We start from the raw sequence: 22,719 nt of genomic DNA, 5'->3' as shown, positions 1-22,719 counted from the left end.
CTCCTCTTTCCTTTTCCTTCCTTCCTTTTCTTTTTCTTTCTTTCTTTTTTCTTTCTTTCCTTCCTTCCTTCTTTCCTTGTTCTTGCTTTTTTCTTTCTTCTTTCCTTCCCTTCCCTTCCCTTCCCTCCCTTCCTTCCTTCTTTCTTTCCTTGTTCTTGCTTGCTTGCTTTTTTCTTTCTTTCCTTTCCTTCCCTTCCCTTCCCATCCCTTCCCCTTCCTTCCTTCCTTCCTTCTTTCTCCTTCTCTTTTTTTCTCTTCCTTTCTTTCTTTTCTCTTTCTCTTTCTTTTTTTCATTTCTTTCTTTTTTTCTCTTCTTCAAATGAAGATATTTAAGGCTGAAGTCTAAGTTCTGTGCCTTTGAGATGTAAATTTTCTACTCTGCTCAAACACCTGAGGGTTATCTCTTTGATATGCAAATTTTGGGAAGCCATCTTATGAGAAAAGAAAAAAAAAGAGCTATATGGAAATTGGGCAAATGAAAAACCTTAAGTCTTTCCCGCAAATATTAATAAAAGCTTTAATCATCTGGCAAGTAATTTTGACTTGTTCCATGTGCCAGAAACAAGATTTGAAGCCTATTGTTCTTGTATTAAACAGTGTGTTTTGTATTACTGTGCTTGGCATGTGGCTAAGATTTTAGAATGAAGCTGTAACACTCTAGTGTCTGAAGAGTGTGAAAAAAAAAAAGAAAGCTATATGATCTGCTTCTGTCTGTATGTTTATGTATGTCTATGTATACATGTACACGTGACATTTTCCTACTCTAGATTGCGTTGCCAAAATTAATTTATAAAAAAGTGGTATTTAATTGGCTTAAAGAAAAATATGAGCTTATATAAGTTGAGTTATCCTTAAACTCTTAGAAATATAGAAACTAACCCAAATGTTTTTTAAATTTCATGTCATCTGAGATTATAGTTGGTAAATAAATGCTATTTAAACTTTTCTGGTTTAATGAAATATTTAGAGTTGTCAGCATTAAATAAAACGCAGACACACAACTTTGGTTTTACCTAGGTTTATTAGGCAAAAACTTATGTTATCTCTGTTACAAGAGTTGCCACCAAGAAAAGCAATTTGATGATGTCTAGCCTTGTCTGCTGTTATGAAACATCTACTTAAAAGCAGCTTGCCGATTCTCTTTGGTAGCTTGCACTGTTAGAGTCAAGTTAAATTAAATGATGGTTATTCATCGACTATCTAGAAAGATATTTTTTAAACCTTATTTTTTTTGAATAACATAAAATACTGAAACTTTGATTGCTAAACATAAGCTTGTCTACTTTTGGCTTCTTATTATAGAAGTACTAAACATACTTGTCTCTGCCAGCAAACACATCCTGTGCCATATTGAAAAATTGTATGATAAAGAAACACACACTTCTAGAAATTATGACATGGTATATTCACAGATTTGCCAATCTGCAGAATGTTGGTATGTATGCAAAAAGTTGACAAGTGTTTACTTGCTAGTTTTCACTAGAAACCAAGGTTAATAGCTGGTGTGGTGGCTCATGCTTGTAATCCCAACACTTTGGGAGGCTGAGGTGGGAGGATCACTTGAGCCAAGAGTTCCAGACCAGCCCATCTCTACCAAAAATAAAAATTAGCTGGGCTGGGTGTGGTAGCTCACGCCTGTAATCATAGCACTTTGGGAGGCTGAGGTGGGTGGATCACGAGGTCAAGAGATTGAGACCATCCTGGCCAACATGGTGAAACCCCATCTCTACTAAAAATACAAAAATTAGCTGAGCATGGTGGTGGACACCTGTAGTCCCAGCTACTCGGGAGGCTGAGGCAGGGGAATCACTTGAACCCGGGAGGCGGAGGTTGCAGTGAGCCAAGATCGCGCCACTGCACTCCAGCCTGGGTGACAGAGTGAGACTCCTCTCAAAAAAAAAAAAAAAAAAAAAAAGCTGGGCATGGTGGCACATGCCTGTGGTCCCAGCAACTTGGGAGACTAAGGTGGGAAGATCACTTGAGCTTGGGAGGTTGAGGCTGCAGTGAGCTGTGATAGCACCACTGCACTCCAGTCTGGGCAACAGAAGAAGGCCCTGACTCAAAAAAAAAAAAAAAAAAAAAAAAGATAAGAAAAGCTTTTAAAGTTACTAAGTGTTTAGAATTCTAATTATATGGTAATTAAAATTACGAGAAATAATAAGGGAAGCAGCTCTGTATGCAGAATATACAAACAAAGGAAGGCGAATTTTGGGTAAGGAAAGTTATAAGAGGCTGGTTGTGGTGGCTCAAGCCTGTCATCCCAGCACTTTGGGAGGCTGAGGGGGGCGGATCACCTGAGGTCAGGAGTTCGAGACCAGCCTGGCCAACATGGTGAAAGCCCATCCCTACTACAAATACAAAAATTAGCCGAATGTGGTGGTGCACGCCTGTAATCCCAGCTACTTGGGAGGCTGAGGGGGAAGAATTGCTTGAACCCGGGAGGTGGAAGTTGCAGTGAGCAGAGATTGCAAGACTCAGTCTCAAAAAACAAAAAAAAATTATAAGGTATGAAGGTGTGCTTTTTTTTTTTTTTTTGAGACAGAGTCTTGCTCTGTCGCCCAGGCTGGAGTGCAGTGGCACAATCTCTGCTCACTGCAAGCTCTAAGTCCAATTAAACTCTTTCTTTTGTAAATTGCTCAGTCTTTATTGGCAGCATGAAAATGGACTAATACAGTATTGCAGGAAAAGTCTGATGGAATGGCATGGCTTTCTAGGCTCAAGAGGTTTTCAAAGTCAAATCTGAAATTCTGTATTAAAAGTTCTAGTCGGGAGCAGTGGCTGACGCCTGTAATCCCAGCACTTTGGGAGGCCGAGACGGGCGGATCATCTGAGGTCAGGAGTTTGAGAACAGACTGGCCAACATGGCAAAACCCCGTCTCTACTAAAAATCCAAAAAAATTAGCCGGGCATGGTAGGTCATGCCTGTAGTCCCAGCTACTCGGGAGGCTGAGGCAGGAGAATCACTTGAACCCAGGAGGCAGAGATTGCAGTGAGCCAAGATCGCACCACTGCATTCCAGCCTGGGCGATAGAGCAAGACTCCATCTCGAAAAAGAAATTAAAAAGACTTCTAAGGCTGGGCAACATGGCCAGACTCTTTCTACCAAAAAAAAAAAAAAATATATATATATATATATATATTAGCTAGGTGTGGTGATGCATGTTTGTGGTCCCAGCCACTTGGGAGGCCGAGGTGGGAGGATTGCTTGAACCCAGGTCAAGGCTGCTGTGAGCCATGATCATGCCGCTGCACTCCAGCCTGGGCAGCCGAGTAACACCCTGTCCCCTCACCCCCACCCCTCAAAATAGTTCTAGTGCCAGGTGTGATGGCTCATGCCTGCAATCCCAGCACTTTGGGAGACCGAGGTGGGAGGATTGCTTGAGGCCTGGAGTTTGAAACTCACCTGGTCAACATAGCAAAAACCCCTCTCTAAAAAAGAAAAAATTAGCAGGGTATCCCTGTAGTACCAGCTACTCAAAAGGGTGAGGTGGGAGAATCGCCTGAGCCCAGGAGTTTGAGGCTGCAGTGAGCTATGATTATGCTACTGCACTCTAGCCTGGGTGACAGAGTGAAACCTTATCTCAAAAAGAGAAAGAGTTGTAGACTTTTAAAAACCCGACATGGCCGGGTACGGTGGCTCACGCCTGTAATCCCAGCACTTTGGGAGGCTGAGGCGGGTGGATCACGGGGTCAGGAGATCGAGACCATCCTGGCTAACACGGTGAAACCCCTTCTCTACTAAAAATACAAAAAATTAGCCGGGCACGGTGGCGGGCGCCTGTAGTCCCAGCCACTCAGGAGGCTGAGGCAGGAGAATGGTGGGAACTCGGGAGGCGGAGCTTGCAGTGAGCCAAGATCACGCCACTGCACTCCAGCTTGGGCGACAGAGCGAGACTCTGCCTCAAAAAAAAAATTTTTTTTTCATGATTTTATGTTTATATTTTAACACAAATAGGAAGATTATAGGGTGATACTTTACAGAATTGAAGGAAAAAATCTAGAATTTTATATGCAGCCAAATTGTTATTCAAATCTAAGAGCATAATAAAGATATTTCCAGAAAGCCTCAGAATGTGTCTCTCCCTCACATCTGCATTGAAAACATTCTTGAAGAAGGAAGTCAAAAAAGAAAAAAATACCAAAAACAAAAAACAGAAATCCAGGAAATGCTGCAGGCCACAGGAGAAGTCTGGGGACCAAATGTGTTTGTGAAATCTGTTATTAGGAACAAACCACTGCCAATAAAAAGGTAGATACAAAGGGCAAAGATGAAGGAAAATATGGTTGTACAAAGCCTGAAGATCTGGGTAATGCCATCAGGAAGGGAGTGAGAGATCAAAGGGATATGGGAAGGTTTGCCAAAGGGTGCGTGGTACCAGGAGCTCCAGGTATGCTAAGTCCAGGAAGTGAATGGGGCGAATGAACAGTGTGGGTCTTAAGACCCCCCATCACAAGAGCGCACTAGGCCACACCGTGTGCCCACCACTGTAGGGGAGAAGATACAACGTTGTTCTTTCCCTCCTAGGTTCTTAGTTGAGACAGTCTCCTGAAAATAAAAGTGAGATTAACATGAGAAAAGTCAACAGCAGTTTATTGATGCCTGCTGTACCTGTCTCACGGGAGAGGCCTCAGGTTAAAAGTATTTCTCTCTCTCTGCAATGGCTTAGGAGCCTTACTTAAATAGTATTTTAACATGAGCCATAAATCCTATGGGAACAAGACAAAGGCAGGAAAATGTGGGGAGGAACCTTTACGGGAAGAGCAACATCTCCTCCTGGAATCTCTCTGTCTCTGAGCTGATATACAAGTGTCTTCAGGTGCGAAAGGCAGAGAGGAGGCCAGGAAGCCCTTAGTCTTTGTAACTTGCTGTCCTGCCATCAGGCAAGCAGAGAGAGGGACAGAGCATCGCCCTGTGTTTTAACTTTCGTCCTCTCAACAACCCGCAGTATTTTAGGGTGTTTTGGTTTGTTTCATCACGTGCAACAAGTCTTGGCACTGTGGGAGCAGAAAGGCTGTGAGACCTTTCTTCACCCGTCACAGGGTCACAGCGACACTCTTCAACAACACACAGCTAACAAGAGGAAAGCAGAGCACATTTATTGCGTCCAAGTTGTGTGTGACACAGAAGACCCAGAGACCCAGGGAAGCTCTTTATGCTCAGATTAGATGAAGAATGTGCAGCTGTGCAGAAACGGGAACAAGCCAGCGGGAAGGCTGAGGGGGGAGCCTTCTCAGCCTCCCCTGCAAAGCCCCTTCCTCCCTCCCACGCATGGGGGCAGGACCTCTTGGAAGGAAGGCCTCCAAGGGAAAGGGACAGAGTGACCTTCCAGGTTTTCGGCCTGCTTTGGGGGAGAGGAGTTCTATTTTCTGTGGGGAAAAGGAATTCTGGTTTCTGTGATTCACACTGGGGAGAAAATGGGGCAGGAAATAGGAGGGAAGGAGAAGGTCAGAGAGGCTTTTGCTTCTGAGGGGCCCTTAGTGCCTCCATAGCCAAGTACTCAACATGCCAAAGGGCCGTATTTGAAGATCACATTTGGAGCCCTAACAACAAAAAGGAGGGACTCAACAAGTTTTGTGGTGCCAGGCATGGCGGGAGGAGAGCCTGAGGCCAGGAGTTTGAGACCAGCCTAGGCAACAGCAAAACTCCATCTTAAGAAAAAAATGTGTATATGTGTGTGTGTGTGTATTTGTTGAATGAATGAATAAATATAAATTTTTAGAAAAGTTATGCCGAGCGCGGTGTCTCACGCCTGTAATCCCAGCACTTTGGGAGGCCGAGGCGGGCGGATCACGAGGTCAGGAGATCGAGACCATCCTGGCTGACACGGTGAAACCCTGACTACTGAAAATACCGAAAATTAGCCGGGCGTGGTGGCGGGCGCCTGTAGTCCCAGCTACTCAGGAGGCTGAGGCAGGAGAATGGCGTGAACCCGGGAGGCGGAGGTTGCAGTGAGCCAAAATCGCGCCACTGCACTCCCGCCTGGGCCACAGAGCGAGACTCCATCTCAAAAAAAAAAAGAAAAGTTATAAAAGAAAAAATCTCTCATGATAATCACCAAAAGAAAAAAACCCCAAAAGTAGGGCAAATAGAAAATATAAAAACTATGGCAGAAATGTCCTTGTAGAAGAATTATTATAATAAATATGAATTAAAAGACAGATTTAATAAGAGATACATTTTAAGAAAAGACCCAGAAATATGGAAAAGTTCTCTGAAACTGAACTTGGGTGATTCCCGGTGCCTGACGGAATCAGCAGGCAATCCTCCCCTGATGGAGATAACACCCCAGGCCTGGAAGTCGCTCCGTGTCCAACAATGAAGCATAAACAGGCACCGTGGAGAGAGAAGACAGTGAGGGCGAGGGACAAGCGGAGCCACAGGCAGCAAAAACTCCGGGTGCTGGAATTCCCAGACAATAAAGCAGCGGTGCGCGCTATGCTTTTGGAAACAAAAGGTAAACTTGAAGATTTTTTCAAGGAATGGGAAATGGATACGGTGATACAGTAAGAAAAACCGGCTTGGCCTTCGTTCCCGGTTCTGCAGAGCCCCTAACATCCTTGTGATTCCGAGGCGATGAGGAGTAAAGATAGAGCTCCTCTCAACCACACCTGCGTTTACGCTGTGAGAGGCCTTTGGAAAGGGGCTCTGGTTGCCAGGCGATTTGAGGGCTGGAACTGCCGGCCCCACCCTCAGCCTGTGGGGAGGGGAGAGGGACTGGATTGAGTCAGTCCTTAGGGGAATGATTTAAGCAATCGTCCCTACATAATGAGGCCTCCATAGAAAACCCTAATCAGCAGACGTCCAAGAACTTAGATGTTGGAAGCTCTAACTCATCGTGTTTGGGTTTAGCCAACACTCGATTAGGTTTGGTTTAACCCACACGTGGGTGTTGAAATCCTGACAAAAAGCAAGAATGTGTTCACCACAGAAGTCCGGAGTGGTGGTCTTTGGGATGGGAGGGGTGGTTGTCAGGCCTCTGAGCCCAAGCTAAGCCACCGTATCCCCTGTGACCTGCACGTATATACGCCCAGATGGCCTGAAGCAAGTGAAGAATCACAAAAGAAGTGAAAATGGCCTGTTCCTGCCTTAACTGATGACATTATCTTGTGAAATTCCTTCTCTTGGCTCATGCTGGCTGGAAAAGCTCCCCCACTGAGCACCTTGTGACCCCCACCCCTGCCCGCCAGAGAACAACCCCCTTTGACTGTAATTTTCCTTTACCCACCCAAATCCTATAAAACGGCCCCACCCCTATCTCCCTTCGCTGGCTCTGTTTTTGGACTCAGCCCGCCTGCGCCCAGGTGATTAAAAAGCTTTATTGCTGACACAAAGCCTGTTTGGTGGTCTCTTCACATGGACGGACGCGAGTGAAAGTCGTGACTGGGCAGGGACAGGCAGGCATCTTCTCGGGGATGGGTAATGCACCATTTTTTGACTAGGGTGATAGTTTTTTACTTTCGTATTTTATACATTTTGCTGTAAATTTATTAAATTTCACAATAGGGAAACGTTAAAAATATATGCACCCATCAACACAGACTTTAAATACACCAGGCAACCACAAATAGAAATGCTGGGAGAAGTGGGTTCAGCAGTCATCATATTTCTGAAGTCACCAAAATTCTGCCAGGAAAAGGTCTGGAGCACCTGTGAGGCCAAGGCTAAGATCTCCAGTGAGGGTGAGACTAAGCTGAGGACCTGCAGATGACTGCTGCAATGGCCATCTGCATCAGCCAGGACAGGCTGTGTTAGGCTGCGTAACAAATGGCCCCACGTAATTACGTCCTGTGCACGCTCCACTCCCACTAAGGAGGACTCTGCTCCCCACCCTCATGCAGAGGCCCAGGCGAGGTCACACCTCGACATGCGTCTCCGTGGTCACTGAGGCGAAAGGAAGGAACTCCACAGGAAGACACAACCCTGCCATCTGCCCAGAGGACAGCTGAAGGTGTCTGATGAACAGCACTAATGCGCACCACATCCAGACACCTGCGAGGTACTCAGAAGACTGCCCTTCCTGCAGGCAAAATACACCTGCTTCCTCAAGGGCAACCCGGTGTCCTCCAGCTACATGAAGGTCAAAAGTACACAAGTTGCCGCATCCAGCCTAGCTGTGTCTCCTCCCAAGCTGGAGGGCCCTGAATTAAAAAGATGAAGAGTTTTCTGCCCACGCCCCCAGTATTCAACCAAGGAGCAGGGACAGGGGCTTCGACGGTTTGGAAGGGAAGAAGGCAGATCCCAGCAGTCATGCTCTGCAGCAACTCCAAAGTCCCAGGGGTGGCTGGGTGAGGACGCTGACGCCGGGGAGCAACTTCCGGGAAGAGATGAGGGCTGTGCTTGGTGGAGGGGACACTTCCCATCCCCACGGTCCTCCGTGGCCGCACAGGGTGGGTGCTGGAGAGTTGAGTGGCTTCCTCAGCTCCTTTCTTGCCTATAGAGACATGGGGGGCCCAAGGGCTACTTTGAGTCTCAAGTTGTCATGATCTCTTTGGATCCAGCCTGTGTTTTTAGGACAGTGCAACTCTTTCAAATCTTTGATCAACTTTTTTTTCTTTTTCTTTTTCTTTTTTTGAGGCAGGTGTCATGCGAGTCCATGTGAAGAGACCATCAAACAGGCTTTGTGTGAGCAATAAAGCTTTTTTTTGTTTTGGAGACGGAGTCTGGCTCAGTCACCCAGGCTGGAGTGCAGTGGCACGATCTCGGCTCACTGCAAGCTCTGCCTCCCGGGTTCACGCCATTCTCCTGCCTCAGCCTCCCGAGTAGCTGCGACTACAGGCGCCCGCCACCACACCCGGCTAATTTTTTGTATTTTTAGTAGAGACGGGGTTTCACCGTGTTAGTCAGGATGGTCTCCATCTCCTGACCTCGTGATCCGCCTGTCTCGGCCTCCCAATGTGCTGGGATTACAGGCGTGAGCCACCGCACCTGGCCAGCAATAAAGCTTTTTAATCACCTGGGTGCAGGTGGTCAGCAAAGGGAGATGGGGTGGAGCCATTTTATAGGATCTGGGTGGGTAGCAGAAAATTGCAGTCAAAGAGGTTTGTTCTCTGGCGGGCAGGGGCAGGGGTCACAGGGTGCTGGGTGGGGGAACTTCTGAGACTCACTGTCCAGGAGAAGGAATTTCATGAGGCAATGTCGTCAGTTAAGGCAGGAACTGGCCATTTTCACTTCTCTTGTGGTTCTTCAGTTGCCTCAGGCCATCTGGATGTACACGTCCAGGCTTGGGCTCGGAGGCCTGACAGCAGGGTCTGGCTCTGTCACCCAGGCTGGAGTGCAGCGACGTGACCAATCAACACTCAGTGCAGCCTCGACCTCCTGGGCTCGAGCGATCCTCCCACCTCGGTCTCCCGAGTGGGTGGGACCACAGGCATGCACCACCACCACTGGCTATTTTTTCATACTTTTTGTAGAGACAGGGTCTCACCATGTTGCCCAGGCTGGTCGTGAACTCCTGGGCTCAAGTGATCCGCCCGCCTCAACTTCCCAAAGTGCTGAGATTACAGGCGTGAGCCACAGCACCCGGCGTAAATCAGCTTTTTAAACTTCAGTCTGATTTAGTCAGGTCCCTGTTCCAGAGTCACACCTGCTCGTCCTCCCTGCTCTTGGCTTTGCTGCATTTCCTTCCTTGGCCGTCCTCAGCCCCCACTGCCCCCTCCCCCTAGAATCTCTCTGCACAAAACGTGGCATCAGGTCAGGCTTGAGACCATGAATCACTCCCTTAGTCTCTTTTTCTTGGAGCATTTGGTGCAATAAAAGGGCTTTCCTGGGCCATTCCCTTGGCCGGACCCTACCTGGAGATTTGTCAGCGGTGGGTGCGGTGGCCTGCTCTTGATTCCATCCTAGCCGCAACCGCTGAGATCGACATTCGAGGGTCTCTGCAGTCTTCCCTTCTGCTGGTCAGGATGGAAAGGCAGTTGCCTCTTTTAACCCACAAAGTACCCCCCGGGTTTTCTCGGTTTCCTTTCGCACCTGCTCACCCACCGGCCAGTTCTCTCCTGAGCTCATGATGCCAAAACCCACATCCGGCCGCAGACAGCACCCGCAGAACATTCGCTGCCCGGCCTCAGAGTCCAGGGCTCACATTTATTAGGTTCTTGCTCCGCCTTCCAAACACCCCACCACGTCCTCCCTGCTCCGCCTGGCCCGGGCAGCACTGCCCCGAGTCAGCCAGGATGAGCCAGGCTGTGCGGTGGTAACGAACGGCCCGACCCTCAGCCGCTGACTCCCTCCAGTGTGGGCCTGTGGCAGGTGTGGGGTCTGCGCCTCGTCCTCGCCCAGCCGCCCAGGTTGGGGAGCCCCCAGCGTGTGCTGCCAGGCCTCCGAGGTGGGAACGGGAGGTGGAGTCACGCCTGATCTCTTGGCACCACCTCTCATGCCCACAACATCTCACTGGCCACCTCAAGTGACAAGCTCATGCCAAGCTGCAAAGGGGTGGGAAAGAAAGATTCCAGCAAGAAAGCTGGAGGCTTGGGGAACAGCACTGATGGGCCTCCCCGTGCACCTCGGGCGCCTTGAGGCACTGCACGTGCTGTGGGGTGTGTGCCTGTGAAGAGGGCAGGGCCGCACTTGGGAGGGAGAGAAGGGGAGTCGCTGCCCCGGGGAACAGCAGCTGCATTAGAGCAAGAAGGTCAGGGCACCCCCATGGGGCTGTTCGACCGGAAGCTCGAGGAAGGGGCTTTTCACCCTCGTTCTGACCCAGAGCTTCTCTGAATCTGTCCTGACCGTCTGCAGGCATTGGTGAAGCTGGCCCAGCAGCTCCTGGAAGGCACCCTCTAGCTGCAACTCCAAAGGGGCTTTTCGGCTGCAGCTCCCACCACGGCTGCTGAAGAAAGGGCTTGGGAAGGAAGGCGCTGTGGCCATCCTGAGATGCAACCTCATTCTCCACTCTGAGCCTGCAGAAAGACAGGGCGCCCACTTACAGAGACAATTTCAGATTGCTTTTGTGGAAGATGAATGCTCAGATGCTCTTTATTTCTCTGTGAATTAAAACCCTAATTTAAACATTAGCTGGGCATGCTAATGTGTGTGTTACTTGGGAGTTCCAGCTACTCGGGAGGCTGAGACAGGAGGATTGCTTGAGCCCAGGAGGTGGAGTCTGCAGTGATCTGTGATGGTGCCACTGCACTTCAGCCTGGGTGACAGAGTGAGACCCTGTTTCAAACAAAGAAACAAAACCCACAAACCAAAACAAAACAAAACAAAACTCTATTTATTCCTCACTCTATTTTTTGGCCATTGAGAGACCCCACAGAGACTTGCTTTTTCCTTAAACTGCTAAGTCACAAAGTTCTAGAGCTTACTGTGAGAAACAAACTCACTCGCCCGAACCCAAAGAATGGATTTAGAAACGCAGAAGACAGCAAAAGTGAGACTTTTGATGACGGTCTTGCAAGATCAGGTATCTATCTGATGGGCAGGCACTCACAGCACAGTCACAACCAGCGATTTATCTCCCAGTGCACAGGCCCCTCCCCTGCATCCTCATAGGCTGAGTACTGTGGGGTCACAGTCTTCCCATTGGTTGTTGGGCAGCAGCTTTAGGTGTCTTCTTTTGGGTTGTCCTGCTGCATTTTGTTGCAGCCCACAATGCATTGCAATCCCAGTCAGCCCAGGGGCTCTGCGTATTTGACTTATGAGCTAAGTAGCTGGGCAGGCTGATAAGGACAGACAAACCGAGCTATTTTGCAGGCTAGTAAACTTTTATCTTAGACGAAACTTCCCTGGTTTGGGTAAGGGCAACTAAGTGGAGGGAGAAGGGGAGGGAGAAGGCTGACAAGAAGGCATCAGCTATCCAAGCAGGGGCCTAGTATATCCTGTTTCTTCTGTAGTTTGCTGACCTAAGCTGATTTAAGGCACTTTGTCTTGGAAATGGACCACTGTATACATTATTTCCTTCACTTACTTAGGAAGAAGAAGACAGGCCGGGCGCGGTGGCTCACACCTGTAATCCCAGCACTTTGGGAGGCCGAGGCGGCCAGATCACAAGGTCAGGAGATTGAGACCATCCTGGCTAACAGGGTGAAATTCTATCTGTACTAAAAATACAAAAAATTAGCCAGGCGTGGTGGCGGGTGCCTGTAGTCACAGCTACTCAGAAGGCTGAGGCAGGAGAATGGTGTGAACCTGGGAGGCATAGCTTGCAGTGAGCTGAGATTGCGCCACTGCACTCCAGTCTGGACGACAGAGCGAGACTCCGTCTCAGGAAAAAAAAAAAAAAAAAAAAGAAGAAGATATATTTTTTTACAATCTAGATAAATTTTTAAAAAATCAGTTTGTGGGTAGGCATGGTGGCACACACCTGTAATCCCAGCACTTTGGGAGGCTGAGACAGGCAGATCACCTGAGGTCGGGAGTTCGAGACCAGCCTGACCAACATGGAGAAATCCCGTCTCTACCAAAAGTACAAAATTAGCCGGGCGTGGTGGCTCATGCCTGTAATCTCATCTACTTGGGAGGCTGAGGCTGGGAATTGCTTGAACCCGGGAGGCAGAGGTTGCGGTGAGCCGAGATCACGCCATTGCACTCCAGCCTGGGTAACAAGGGTGAGATTCCATCTCAAAAAAAAAAATTGGTTTTGATTGGGTGTTAATTTGAGTAGGTTCACAGAAATATCAACCTTATTTTCCTGTGCAGTGAGAACATTTTGTTTTCCTAATGATGACCAGGTTGTTCTCATCTCTCTGATTATTAGCCTGTCCTTGGAAACCATTAGAAAAAGTCTTAAGATTCCCAAGATGTCAGGTACAAATGCCACCTTCTGAAGTTATCGTGTTTGAACGGCAGTGGGGAAGCCACTTGAAGCACTCACACCAAGGCGGGGGTCAGGGACTGGCAGCAGCGAGCCCCCGCTGCCCACTGCCCAGAGGCCTGCCCCGTGCCATACGAGGCATATTTGGGGAAGGCTCCAAGCCTCAAAGATACAGCTCCTTTGTGGCCAGGAGACCCAGCTCTAATTCAAGAAAGAAGTGAACCCCTGAGAGGAAGCCGGAGTCCTGGGGGACTTGCGGGAGCAGATCTCCAGGCCAGGACCCTCACTTCTGGATGCACGGCGGCTCCCCCTGCAATGCCGCCAGTGGAAGGGGCCAGTGACATGAGCGAAGAGGGTGGGCCCTGCACACCCAATGCTAAATCTTCCAGTACCAATGTTTCTAAAAAAGCAAAAGTAAATGGGTGATATTTGTTTTAATAATCTATTTTTTAAAATTTTAATTAAAAAAATTTTTTACTGATTTAATTTTAATTAATTAATTGTTTTTAGAGGTGGGGTCTCTGTCATCCATGCTGGAGGGCAGTGGCACCATTACAGCTCACGGCAGCCTCAACCACCCGGCCTCAAGCGATCCTCTTGCCTTGGCCTCCCAGTGCTGGGATTACAGGAGTGAGCCACCATGCCTGGCCAGCAATCTACTTAAACAAACATATCCAAAATAGTTTCTCAACATATCATCAACAAAATATACTATTGATGAAATACTGACATTTTACAAAGAAATTTTTTTTCTCACCAAATCTTCAAAATCCAGCATGAGCTTTGCACTCACAGCAGTTTGAGAATGGAACTGGCCACGTTCCAAGGGCTCGGTGGCCACAGGGAGCTCCTCAGAGCGCAGCCAGGCCAGAGGCTGCACCGAGGTGCAGAATCAGAGGAGGCACCGGAGACCCCAGAGTCCAGTCTGAGACGGCACAGGGAGCAGGTCTCTGGTGGCCTTGACAAGCTCCAGGATAGGGTGGGGAGGGGACTGGACCCTGGGGACCTCAGAGCAGAGCAGGGGAAACAGGAGCCCCCACCTGGGGAGAGGGGGCCTCCTCTCCAGGAACCCCAATCAAGACGAGCCTCACGTGACTCCCACTTCCTCTTGGAGGGTGCAGGGGCCTCTCCTGAGGTGAGTTTTGTTTCTGATTTTTTCAGGGGAAACTTCTCAGCACATTGTCCTTGGCCAGATGCCACAGGAGCCGCTGACCCAGTGACGTCACCTCATTCTGCTCAGATCGCACCCCCTGTCCGTGGGGCACTGAGGCAGGAAGAGGAAACTGCTGTAATCTCAGGAAGCTTTTGGCCAGTGGGGCCCTAGAGCCCTGCCCAAGCCCTACTGGGTGTGGCCCCGAGTCCAGGAACCCCCCTCCCCCCTGACCCTCATGTCCCCTCGACCTCTGTGGCATTTTATAAAACAAAGGGGCCCCGGAAAGCGGAAGGAGGGGGTCACACGTGTGAGCCCTGAGCACCGAAGCTGCCCCCACAGGCCCTGGAATCCTCCCCGTGTCCAAAGACAGCCTCCTCTTCAGTCAGTGCTCCCTGTCGTCCCCGGTCCTGGGCCTGGAGGGCTGCTGTGGGGCAGGAGCAGTGGCCACTGGGTCTCTGACCTGCACCAGGAGACACGGGGAGGCTTAGGCCTCTGAACCCACATAGAGCAGGACCGCAGCCCCAGAAAAGGGAAGATTTCAGCAGAGGAGGCCTGTGACGAGAGAGGCGAAGGCTTGAGGGGCTCCCTGTGGGGCCTGGAGTGTGGAAGCCCCATTGGGGCCTGGCAGGGACCTGTACCAAGACAGTGAGGTCCTGCAGCAGCTGGGGTGAGGAGAGGAGACTCCCAGGCCTGGTAAAGCGCACAGGGGCCTCTGGCACCCCTACAAGAGGAGGTTGGAGTCACCTGACGCTGTCCTGATGCGGCTCCTGCAGAGAAGACTCCTTACTTAGCCCACAGTGCTTCTACCCGCCCTGACACCGTCCTGATGGGGTCCTGCAGAGAAGCCTCCTTACTTAGCCTACAGTTTTTCCACACGCCCTGACACCGTCCTGATGGGGTCCTGCAGAGAAGCCTGCTTACTTAGCCTACAGTGTTTCCACACGCCCTGACACCGTCCTGATGGGGTCCTGCAGAGAAGCCTCCTTAGCCCACAGTGCTTCTACCCACCCTCAATGTATAACTTCACGTTCAGAAATGTGTTACCCCCCTCCTCAGACCTCACACAATTCACGAATTTCCAAACAGCAGGAAACAGAAACTTCTAAGAAAGCAGAACCCTTGAGTCCAGGTGGGAGAAGGTGCCTGAGAAAACAGCCCTGCCAGAGACAGTACCCCAGCATCCGGACGTTACTCCACAGACGGCCACGTAAGAGACCAGGAACCACCCTTCCCACGGTACCCCAGCGTCCGGACGCTACTCCACAGACGGCCACGTAAGAGACCGGGAACCACCCTTCCCACGGTACCCCAGCGTCCGGACGCTACTCCACAGACGGCCACGTAAGAGACCAGGAACCACACTTCCCAAGCCTTCTGCACTCCCAAAAACATCAGCTTCCCGGAAACCTGAGACATGCTCAAGGAAGAGCACGGTGTGAAGTCAGCTGTGGGTGGAGGATGACCCAGGTGCCCAGGCAAGAGACTGAAGGCACAAACTGTTTCAGTATAATAAAGAAAATGGAATAAGAACAGTCATAGAGTCATAACACAAATTAGATATAGAGATGATCACGGACAATTATCAATCGTTATTATAAACATTATTAATCATTAGCTTTTAATATTACTCTTTGTTCCATTACTATATAACCTGGGAATAACCGGCGGGTATAGGGTCAGGTGCTGAAGGGACGTTGTGAGAAGTGACCTAGAAGGCAAGAGGTGAGCCCTCTGTCACGCCAACATAAGGGCCGCTTGAGGGCTCCTTGGTCAAGCGGTAACGCCAGTGCCTGGGAAGGCACCCGTTACTTAGCCGACCGTGAAAGGGAGTCTCCTTTCCTTGGAGGAGTCAGGGAACACTCTGCTCCGCCAGCTTCTTGTGGGAGGCTGGATATTCTCCAGGCCTGGCCTGCAGTCATCCGGAGGCCTAACCCCCTCCCTGTGGTGCTTGAATGATCACACTCCTTGTCCACTTTCATGCTCTTCCCGTACTCCTGGTTCCTCTTTGAAGTTCGTAGTAGATAGCGGTAGAAGAAATAGTGAAAGTCTTAAAGTCTTTGATTGTTCTTATAAGTGCATAGAAGAAAACGCTGACGTATGCTGCCTTCTCTCTCTGCTCGGCTACCTAAGAGGGAAAGGCCCCCTGTCCTATGATCACGTGACTTGCTTCACCTTATCAATTACTTGGACGACTCACCGTCCGTACCCTGCCCCCTTGTCTTGTATTCAATAAATATCAGCGCAGCCAGCCGTTCGGAGCCACTAGCGGTCTCCATGTCTTGGTGGTAGTGGTCCCCTGGGCCCAGCTGTTTTCTCTTTATCTGTTTGTCTTGTGTCTTTATTTCTTACGATCTCTTGTCTCTGCACACGGGGAGAACACCCGCTAAGCCCCCGTAGGGCTGGACCCTACACAGGAAGTCCCCTTCATTGCTGTGTGGACGTGGTAGATAAAGTGTTCTCAAGCTGGAAAGATTTAACAGATTGGCCCCTCGGGGACCTGGACATTGAATATTTTACTGATGGAAGCAGTTTCGTACTAAGGGGAGTCTGCCGAGCTGGGTATGCCGCGGTGACTTTGGACTCAGCAGTAGAGGTACCGTCTCTGTCTGCAGAAACTTCTGCTTAGAAAGCAGAGCTAATAGCTCTGACAAGAGCTCTCTGGCTAGGAAAAGAGCAGAAGGCAAGTATTTACACAGATTCCAAATATGCTTCTGCCACTTTGCATGTTCATGAGGCTGTTTACAAAGAATAAAAGACTTTTAACGGCTGGAAGTGAAAAAACAAAGTATAAGGAGGAAATTCCACCTCTGTTAAACGCTGTGTGGGCCCTGGAAGAGGTGGCAGTGATGCGCTGCAGGAGGCCCCGAAAAGCAGCAAAGCAGAAAGGCAGACGAAGAGGCAAACGGGCTGCAACGACAACTCCACCTTCTAGAGAGGAAGCCTTAGCTATGCCTCCCGCTCCCGGAGATTCCCCTCCTGGGGATCCCAAGGTCCCCTCCAAACGAAAAGTCTTGGTTTGCCCACAAGAATAAGAACTACATTGAAGAAAGATGGTAAAAATTTTCCAACGGGAGGCTAGCCATACCTGGAATGGTGGCCCTCAGATTTGTAAAACAGTTCCACTGGAAAAAAAACCCAAAAAACCAGCACTAAAGACGTTATTAAGGCATCATTTCTTTTTTTTTTTTTTTTGAGACAGAGTCTCGCTCTATCCCCCAGGCTGGAGTGCTGTGGCGTGATCTCGGCTCACTGCAAGCTCCGCCTCCCAGGTTCACGCCATTCTCCTGCCTCAGCCTCCCATGTAGCTGGGACCACAGGTGCCCGCCACCACACCCGGCTAATTTTTTTTGTATTTTTAGTAGAGACGGGGTTTCACGTGTTAGTCTCGATCTCCCGACCTTGTGATCCGCCCACCTCGGCCTCCCAAAGTGCTGGGATTACAGGCGTGAGCCACCGCGCCTGGCCCTGTTAAGGCATCATTTCTATGTGCCATGGCTCACTGCTATTACTCGAGCCATTTGTAAACAAATGGTGTTAAATTCGTGCTCAGAACAATGCATGACAAGGGCCTACTCGGCCCCCAGGAGTTCAGGAAACAGGAGCCAGGCAGCCATACCCTGTGAAAAACTGTGGTACGGACTTCGAGGAAGTACCCTGAGAGGGGGGTTATCAGTGCACGTGGGTGTTCATTTGCACCTTTTCAGGAGGTTGAGGCCTTCCCCACCCGGACAGAGAAGGCACTAGAAGTAACCAAGGTGTTGTTAAGAGACATTATTCCCAGATTTGGACTGCCTCTAACTCTAAGATCAGACAATAGCCCAATATTTATGGCTGAAATAGTTCAGGACTTAACTTGATTATTAAAAATAAAGTGGAAATTACATACAGCTTACAGGCTGCAGAGCTCAGGTAAAGTGGAATGCATGAACTGGACACTCAAGCAGCTGCTAAAGAAATTTTGTCAAGAGCTGGGCGCGGTGGCTCACGCCTGTAATCCCAGCCCTTTGGGAGGCCGAGGCGGGCGGATCATGAGGTCAGGAGATCGAGACCATCCTGGCTAACACGTGAAACCCCGTCTCTACTACAAACACAAAAAGTCAGCCGGGTGTGGTGGCAGACGCCTGTAGTCCCAGCTACTCAGGAGGCTGAGGCAGGAGAATGGCGTGAACCTGGGAGGCGGAGCTTGCAGTGAGCCGAGATCGTGCCACTGCACTCCAGCCTGGGCGACAGAGCAAGACTCCGACTCAAAAAAATAAATAAATAAAATAAATAATAACAATAAAAGGCCTCAGAGGGGAAGGGAATGAGGCAGGAAATTAAATAAAATTAAAATTAAAAAGAAAGAGAAATAGGTTTTCCTGTATCAGGCTGACTCGTCCCGGAGGCAGCAGCAGACACAGCTGAGACCCAGGAAAAGTCCTGATAATATTATCTAATGTGCTCTGAGACTCTCCCAGCACTCCCTTAACACAGGGAGAAGAAAAAACAAATTTTCCTTTGTTTTTGGAATGAGTTTATAGATTCCTGTTCTCTGTAACTAGTGACTTCAAGTATTCTGTTTTATCTAAGAAGTACAGTGAAGGTCATGAGACGCCTGAGCAGGCCTGAACGCCAGCTGCCTGGGCACCATAGTGAAGGTAATGGGATAATCCAGCTGCCTGGGCACCATAGTGAAGGTAATGGGATAATCCAGCTGCCTGGGCACCACAGTGAGGGTTATGGGATAATCCAGCTGCCTGGGCACCACACTGAAGGTAATGGGATAATCCGGCTGCCTGGGCACCACAGTGAGGGTTATGGGATAATCCAGCTGCCTGGGCACCATAGTGAAGGTAATGGGATAATCCAGCTGCCTGGGCACCACAGTGAGGGTTATGGGATAATCCAGCTGCCTGGGCACCACACTGAAGGTAATGGGATAATCCGGCTGCCTGGGCACCACACTGAAGGTAATGGGATAATCCGGCTGCCTGGGCACCACAGTGAGGGTTATGGGATAATCCAGCTGCCTGGGCACCATAGTGAAGGTAATGGGATAATCCAGCTGCCTGGGCACCACAGTGAGGGTTATGGGATAATCCAGCTGCCTGGGCACCACACTGAAGGTAATGGGATAATCCGGCTGCCTGGGCACCACACTGAAGGTAATGGGATAATCCGGCTGCCTGGGCACCACAGTGAGGGTTATGGGATAATCCAGCTGCCTGGGCACCATAGTGAAGGTAATGGGATAATCCAGCTGCCTGGGCACCACACTGAAGGTAATGGGATAATCCGGCTGCCTGGGCACCACACTGAAGGTAATGGGATAATCCGGCTGCCTGGGCACCACAGTGAGGGTTATGGGATAATCCAGCTGCCTGGGCACCATAGTGAAGGTAATGGGATAATCCAGCTGCCTGGGCACCACAGTGAGGGTTATGGGATAATCCAGCTGCCTGGGCACCACACTGAAGGTAATGGGATAATCCGGCTGCCTGGGCACCACACTGAAGGTAATGGGATAATCCGGCTGCCTGGGCACCACAGTGAGGGTTATGGGATAATCCAGCTGCCTGGGCACCATAGTGAAGGTAATGGGATAATCCGGCTGCCTGGGCACCACAGTGAGGGTTATGGGATAATCCAGCTGCCTGGGCACCATAGTGAAGGTAATGGGATAATCCAGCTGCCTGGGCACCATAGTGAAGGTAATGGGATAATCCAGCTGCCTGGGCACCATAGTGAAGGTAATGGGATAATCCAGCTGCCTGGGCACCATAGTGAAGGTAATGGGATAATCCAGCTGCCTGGGCACCATAGTGAAGGTAATGGGATAATCCAGCTGCCTGGGCACCATAGTGAAGGTAATGGGATAATCCAGCTGCCTGGGCACCACAGTGAGGGTTATGGGAGACGGGGTTTCACCGTGTCAGCCAGGATGGTCTCGATCTCCTGACCTCATGATCCTCCCACCTCAGCCTCCCAAAGTGCTGGGATTACAGGCGTGAGCCGCGGCGCCCGGCAGAGGTGAGGGCTTTGGGGGAACGGTTGTGGGGCCTGGAGTGTGGAGGCGTCAGCGCAGGCCTGGCAGGAGCCCTGAACCGGGACAGTGGGGTCCTGCAGCTGCTGGCCTGGGGTGTGGAGACCCCCAACACAGGGGAAGTCTCCAGGACCCCACACCACTAACAAGATGAGCCTTGTGCTCCCTTGGGCTCTAGAGAGGAAGCCCCTCTTAGCCCTCAGCCCCTCTTTCCTCCCTCTCCTAAAGTAATTTGATCCTCAGGAATTTGTTCCGCCCTCATCTGGCCCCGGCCAAATCCCGATTTGACAAATGCCAGGAAAAGGAAACTGTTGAGAAACCGAAACTACTGGGGAAAGGGAGGGCTCACTGAGAACCATCCCAGTAACCCGACCGCCGCTGGTCTTCGCTGGACACCATGAATCACACTGTCCAAACCTTCTTCTCTCCTGTCAACAGTGGCCAGCCCCCCAACTATGAGATGCTCAAGGAGGAGCACGAGGTGGCTGTGCTGGGGGCGCCCCACAACCCTGCTCCCCCGACGTCCACCGTGATCCACATCCGCAGCGAGACCTCCGTGCCCGACCATGTCGTCTGGTCCCTGTTCAACACCCTCTTCATGAACCCCTGCTGCCTGGGCTTCATAGCATTCGCCTACTCCGTGAAGGTGCGTATGGCCCCAGGGAATGCTCAGAGGGTGCCGCTGAGCCTGGAGCTCCACCTGCCCACATGCTGCCTGGGGTGGGGACTTGTGTGTCCCTGTGACTGTGAGTTTGTGTGCACCTCTGTCCCGTGTGTGCCCACGTCAGTGGCTTTGTCTGTGTGATCTGTGTGTGTGTGTGGCTTGGGGAATCTGCCCAGTGCAGGTTTAGGAGGAGGCTCCAGGAGGCTGGCTGGCTGGCTCAGAGTCTGTCCCCGGCTATCCACTAGCCCAGAGCAGTTCTCCCTATAGCCCAGTAAGAAATTACACCTTCACCTTCCAGACTGGCACCCAGGCTCTCCCAGAAAGTGAGAAGGGAACTCACAGGTGACTTCACCCCATGGTGGGGAGAACAGCCTGTGCTGAGGTCAAGGCAGAAGGAGGATGAGCCCCGAGGCTCCTGGAGAGTCTGAGCCCGGGTGAGGAAGGGGAGGAGGTGGTCCCTGATCTCAGGGCGGGGAGAGCCAATGAGGAGACGGAGCCATAGCACGCGGCTCTCAGCTGGGGGATCCTGGTCCCCTCACCATCTCCTCTCCCCCAGTCTAGGGACAGGAAGATGGTTGGCGACGTGACCGGGGCCCAGGCCTATGCCTCCACCGCCAAGTGCCTGAACATCTGGGCCCTGATTCTGGGCATCCTCATGACCATTCTGCTCATCGTCATCCCAGTGCTGATCTTCCAGGCCTATGGATAGATCAGGAGGCATCACTGAGGCCAGGAGCTCTGCCCATGACCTGTATCCCACGTACTCCAACTTCCATTCCTCGCCCTGCCCCCGGAGCCGAGTCCTGTATCAGCCCTTTATCCTCACACGCTTTTCTACAATGGCATTCAATAAAGTGCACGTGTTTCTGGTGCTGCTGCGACTTCACCTGGGGAGGGGTCTGGCTGAGGGTTCGGAGCGTGGTTCTGAGACTGAGCAGGTTGGTCAGCCCCTGCACTGCCCCTTCCGGCCTCTGTGCATCTCTTGGGGACCGGGCAAGTGCTCAGGCCTTCTGGTTTCGGGCCTCCTGCCGTGAGCAGCAGCTGGATCCAGGACCCTGGGAGGAGTTCCTGTGTCCTGCAGGTCTCAGCTCCTACTCAACGTGGGCTCTTTCCGGGAACGTCAGTGCTGAGTCCGGGACACCCTGGGCCCAAGGCCACGCTCGCGGCCTGTCGGCAATCCAGGCTGTCGGCTCAGGACAGAGGGAAGGGTTAAGCCCCCAGCAGGGCCAGGGAGGGGCAAGGTGGCACCGGCTCCCCAGCTGCTCCCAGGCCCTGCTCTGTGGTGCTGGGGACCTGGCTTTAGTTCCTCGGGGTGGAGGGGGCACCGCGCTGCCTGCCTCCGAGCTGTCTGGAGCAGCCAGTCCTGCAGATGTGGGCAGCTCAGGGCCCGTGGGAGGGAGGGGGCTTTGTGCCCAGGGCAGCAGCTGAAGGAGCCCCGGGCCTCGCAGCCCCTCCTGGGTGACCAGGTGCTGCTTCGTGGCAGCTGCCCCCTCCCGTCCAGCGGGTATGGGCCCTGCTCCCCCGTGGTGGGGGCGGCGCAGGAGAGTGGAGCGACCCTCATCGAAGTTACCTCTACCCGGGTCTGAGCCCCCGGACAGACACCCCCGCCCCGACCTGGTTACAGCGCCCTTCCCCGGTTCGGTCTCCGGTGTGCGCATGTGGGGTGCCCCATGGGCGGCCGCGGTGGGAGCTGGGGTGGCCATGCGCGCCCCCGCCCCGCCGTCCACCCGCGACTCCAGGTCTGGATCTACTCGCCCTCCCCACCCTTTCCCGCCCCCAGCCCCGGAGCCGCGCTCTCACCCCAGGGGCGGCAAGGGCGATGGACGCGGAGGAAGCGCCCTCTCCCCCTCGGGGGTCTCCCGGAGGCGAGTCCCGAAGGGGGCGAACTCCGAAGTGGGTCCCGGGTGGGAGGCGCGCGGCCCCGCCCGGCGGGGAGGGGGAAGCGGCGGAGGCGGGTGCTCAGCGGCGCCCCTGGCGGCGGCCGGCGCAGGTGCAGGTCCCGGAGGAGGCTCCGCCCGCAGCCCAGACCCCCGCGGGGTGGGCGGGACGCGGACCCTGAGACCCGCAGCGCCGGACCCGGACGGGAGCCCCTCTCCTCCCCCTCGGGCACGTCCCCGGCCGAGCCTTCCCG

At 51.7% G+C, this 22,719-nt stretch overlaps 1 protein-coding gene and 1 long non-coding RNA gene across 8 annotated transcripts, besides 9 other annotated features; one reads left to right on the top strand and one right to left on the bottom strand.

Annotated features, from left to right (window-relative positions):
* Positions 6,699-7,252: an enhancer, noted in NCBI's record as "NANOG-H3K27ac hESC enhancer chr11:333883-334436 (GRCh37/hg19 assembly coordinates)". NCBI's record gives its function as "activates a minimal SCP1, AML or CMV promoter by ChIP-STARR-seq in naive H9 embryonic stem cells {active_cell/tissue: H9 hESC(naive)}" and the evidence as "EXISTENCE:reporter gene assay evidence [ECO:0000049][PMID:30033119]".
* Positions 7,253-7,806: an enhancer, noted in NCBI's record as "NANOG-H3K27ac-H3K4me1 hESC enhancer chr11:333329-333882 (GRCh37/hg19 assembly coordinates)". NCBI's record gives its function as "activates a minimal SCP1, AML or CMV promoter by ChIP-STARR-seq in primed H9 embryonic stem cells {active_cell/tissue: H9 hESC(primed)}" and the evidence as "EXISTENCE:reporter gene assay evidence [ECO:0000049][PMID:30033119]".
* Positions 7,446-22,675, bottom strand: IFITM3-AS1 (IFITM3 antisense RNA 1). 6 transcript variants are annotated; one of them, XR_007062537.1, is made up of 6 exons: positions 22,389-22,675; positions 13,507-17,024; positions 9,983-11,152; positions 9,793-9,894; positions 9,106-9,267; positions 7,446-8,432 (listed from the first exon to the last, which is right to left on the bottom strand). It is a non-coding gene; the product is annotated as an IFITM3 antisense RNA 1 (long non-coding RNA). The 6 variants fall into 6 exon arrangements; XR_007062536.1 differs by having other exon boundaries at positions 9,793-9,891; XR_007062539.1 differs by having other exon boundaries at positions 9,793-11,152; positions 13,507-16,564; positions 16,988-17,024.
* Positions 9,889-9,988: an enhancer, noted in NCBI's record as "active region_4271". NCBI's record gives its function as "activates an Ori minimal core promoter by ATAC-STARR-seq in GM12878 lymphoblastoid cells {active_cell/tissue: GM12878}" and the evidence as "EXISTENCE:reporter gene assay evidence [ECO:0000049][PMID:35858748]".
* Positions 13,599-13,648: an enhancer, noted in NCBI's record as "active region_4270". NCBI's record gives its function as "activates an Ori minimal core promoter by ATAC-STARR-seq in GM12878 lymphoblastoid cells {active_cell/tissue: GM12878}" and the evidence as "EXISTENCE:reporter gene assay evidence [ECO:0000049][PMID:35858748]".
* Positions 13,709-14,078: an enhancer, noted in NCBI's record as "active region_4269". NCBI's record gives its function as "activates an Ori minimal core promoter by ATAC-STARR-seq in GM12878 lymphoblastoid cells {active_cell/tissue: GM12878}" and the evidence as "EXISTENCE:reporter gene assay evidence [ECO:0000049][PMID:35858748]".
* Positions 14,499-14,638: an enhancer, noted in NCBI's record as "active region_4268". NCBI's record gives its function as "activates an Ori minimal core promoter by ATAC-STARR-seq in GM12878 lymphoblastoid cells {active_cell/tissue: GM12878}" and the evidence as "EXISTENCE:reporter gene assay evidence [ECO:0000049][PMID:35858748]".
* Positions 19,925-20,480: an enhancer, noted in NCBI's record as "H3K27ac-H3K4me1 hESC enhancer chr11:320655-321210 (GRCh37/hg19 assembly coordinates)". NCBI's record gives its function as "activates a minimal SCP1, AML or CMV promoter by ChIP-STARR-seq in naive H9 embryonic stem cells {active_cell/tissue: H9 hESC(naive)}" and the evidence as "EXISTENCE:reporter gene assay evidence [ECO:0000049][PMID:30033119]".
* Positions 20,275-21,459, top strand: IFITM3 (interferon induced transmembrane protein 3). Of its 2 annotated transcripts, none has more exons than NR_049759.2 (2): positions 20,275-20,570; positions 21,150-21,459. NR_049759.2 is itself a non-coding variant. In NM_021034.3 (2 exons), exons 1-2 carry the CDS (start codon positions 20,322-20,324, stop codon positions 21,295-21,297), a joined length of 402 nt encoding a protein of 133 aa, NP_066362.2. In that variant the 5' UTR covers positions 20,275-20,321; the 3' UTR covers positions 21,298-21,459. The 2 variants fall into 2 exon arrangements, 1 of the variants encoding a protein (NP_066362.2); NM_021034.3 differs by having other exon boundaries at positions 21,145-21,459.
* Positions 21,593-22,148: an enhancer, noted in NCBI's record as "H3K27ac-H3K4me1 hESC enhancer chr11:318987-319542 (GRCh37/hg19 assembly coordinates)". NCBI's record gives its function as "activates a minimal SCP1, AML or CMV promoter by ChIP-STARR-seq in naive H9 embryonic stem cells {active_cell/tissue: H9 hESC(naive)}" and the evidence as "EXISTENCE:reporter gene assay evidence [ECO:0000049][PMID:30033119]".
* Positions 22,149-22,704: an enhancer, noted in NCBI's record as "H3K27ac-H3K4me1 hESC enhancer chr11:318431-318986 (GRCh37/hg19 assembly coordinates)". NCBI's record gives its function as "activates a minimal SCP1, AML or CMV promoter by ChIP-STARR-seq in naive H9 embryonic stem cells {active_cell/tissue: H9 hESC(naive)}" and the evidence as "EXISTENCE:reporter gene assay evidence [ECO:0000049][PMID:30033119]".

This window comes from Homo sapiens, chromosome 11, assembly GCF_000001405.40.
Source record: "Homo sapiens chromosome 11, GRCh38.p14 Primary Assembly".
NCBI classification, from domain to species: domain Eukaryota; kingdom Metazoa; phylum Chordata; class Mammalia; order Primates; family Hominidae; genus Homo; species Homo sapiens.
Note: the sequence above shows the minus strand (reverse complement) of the source record. Positions and strands in the feature narration are given on the sequence as shown.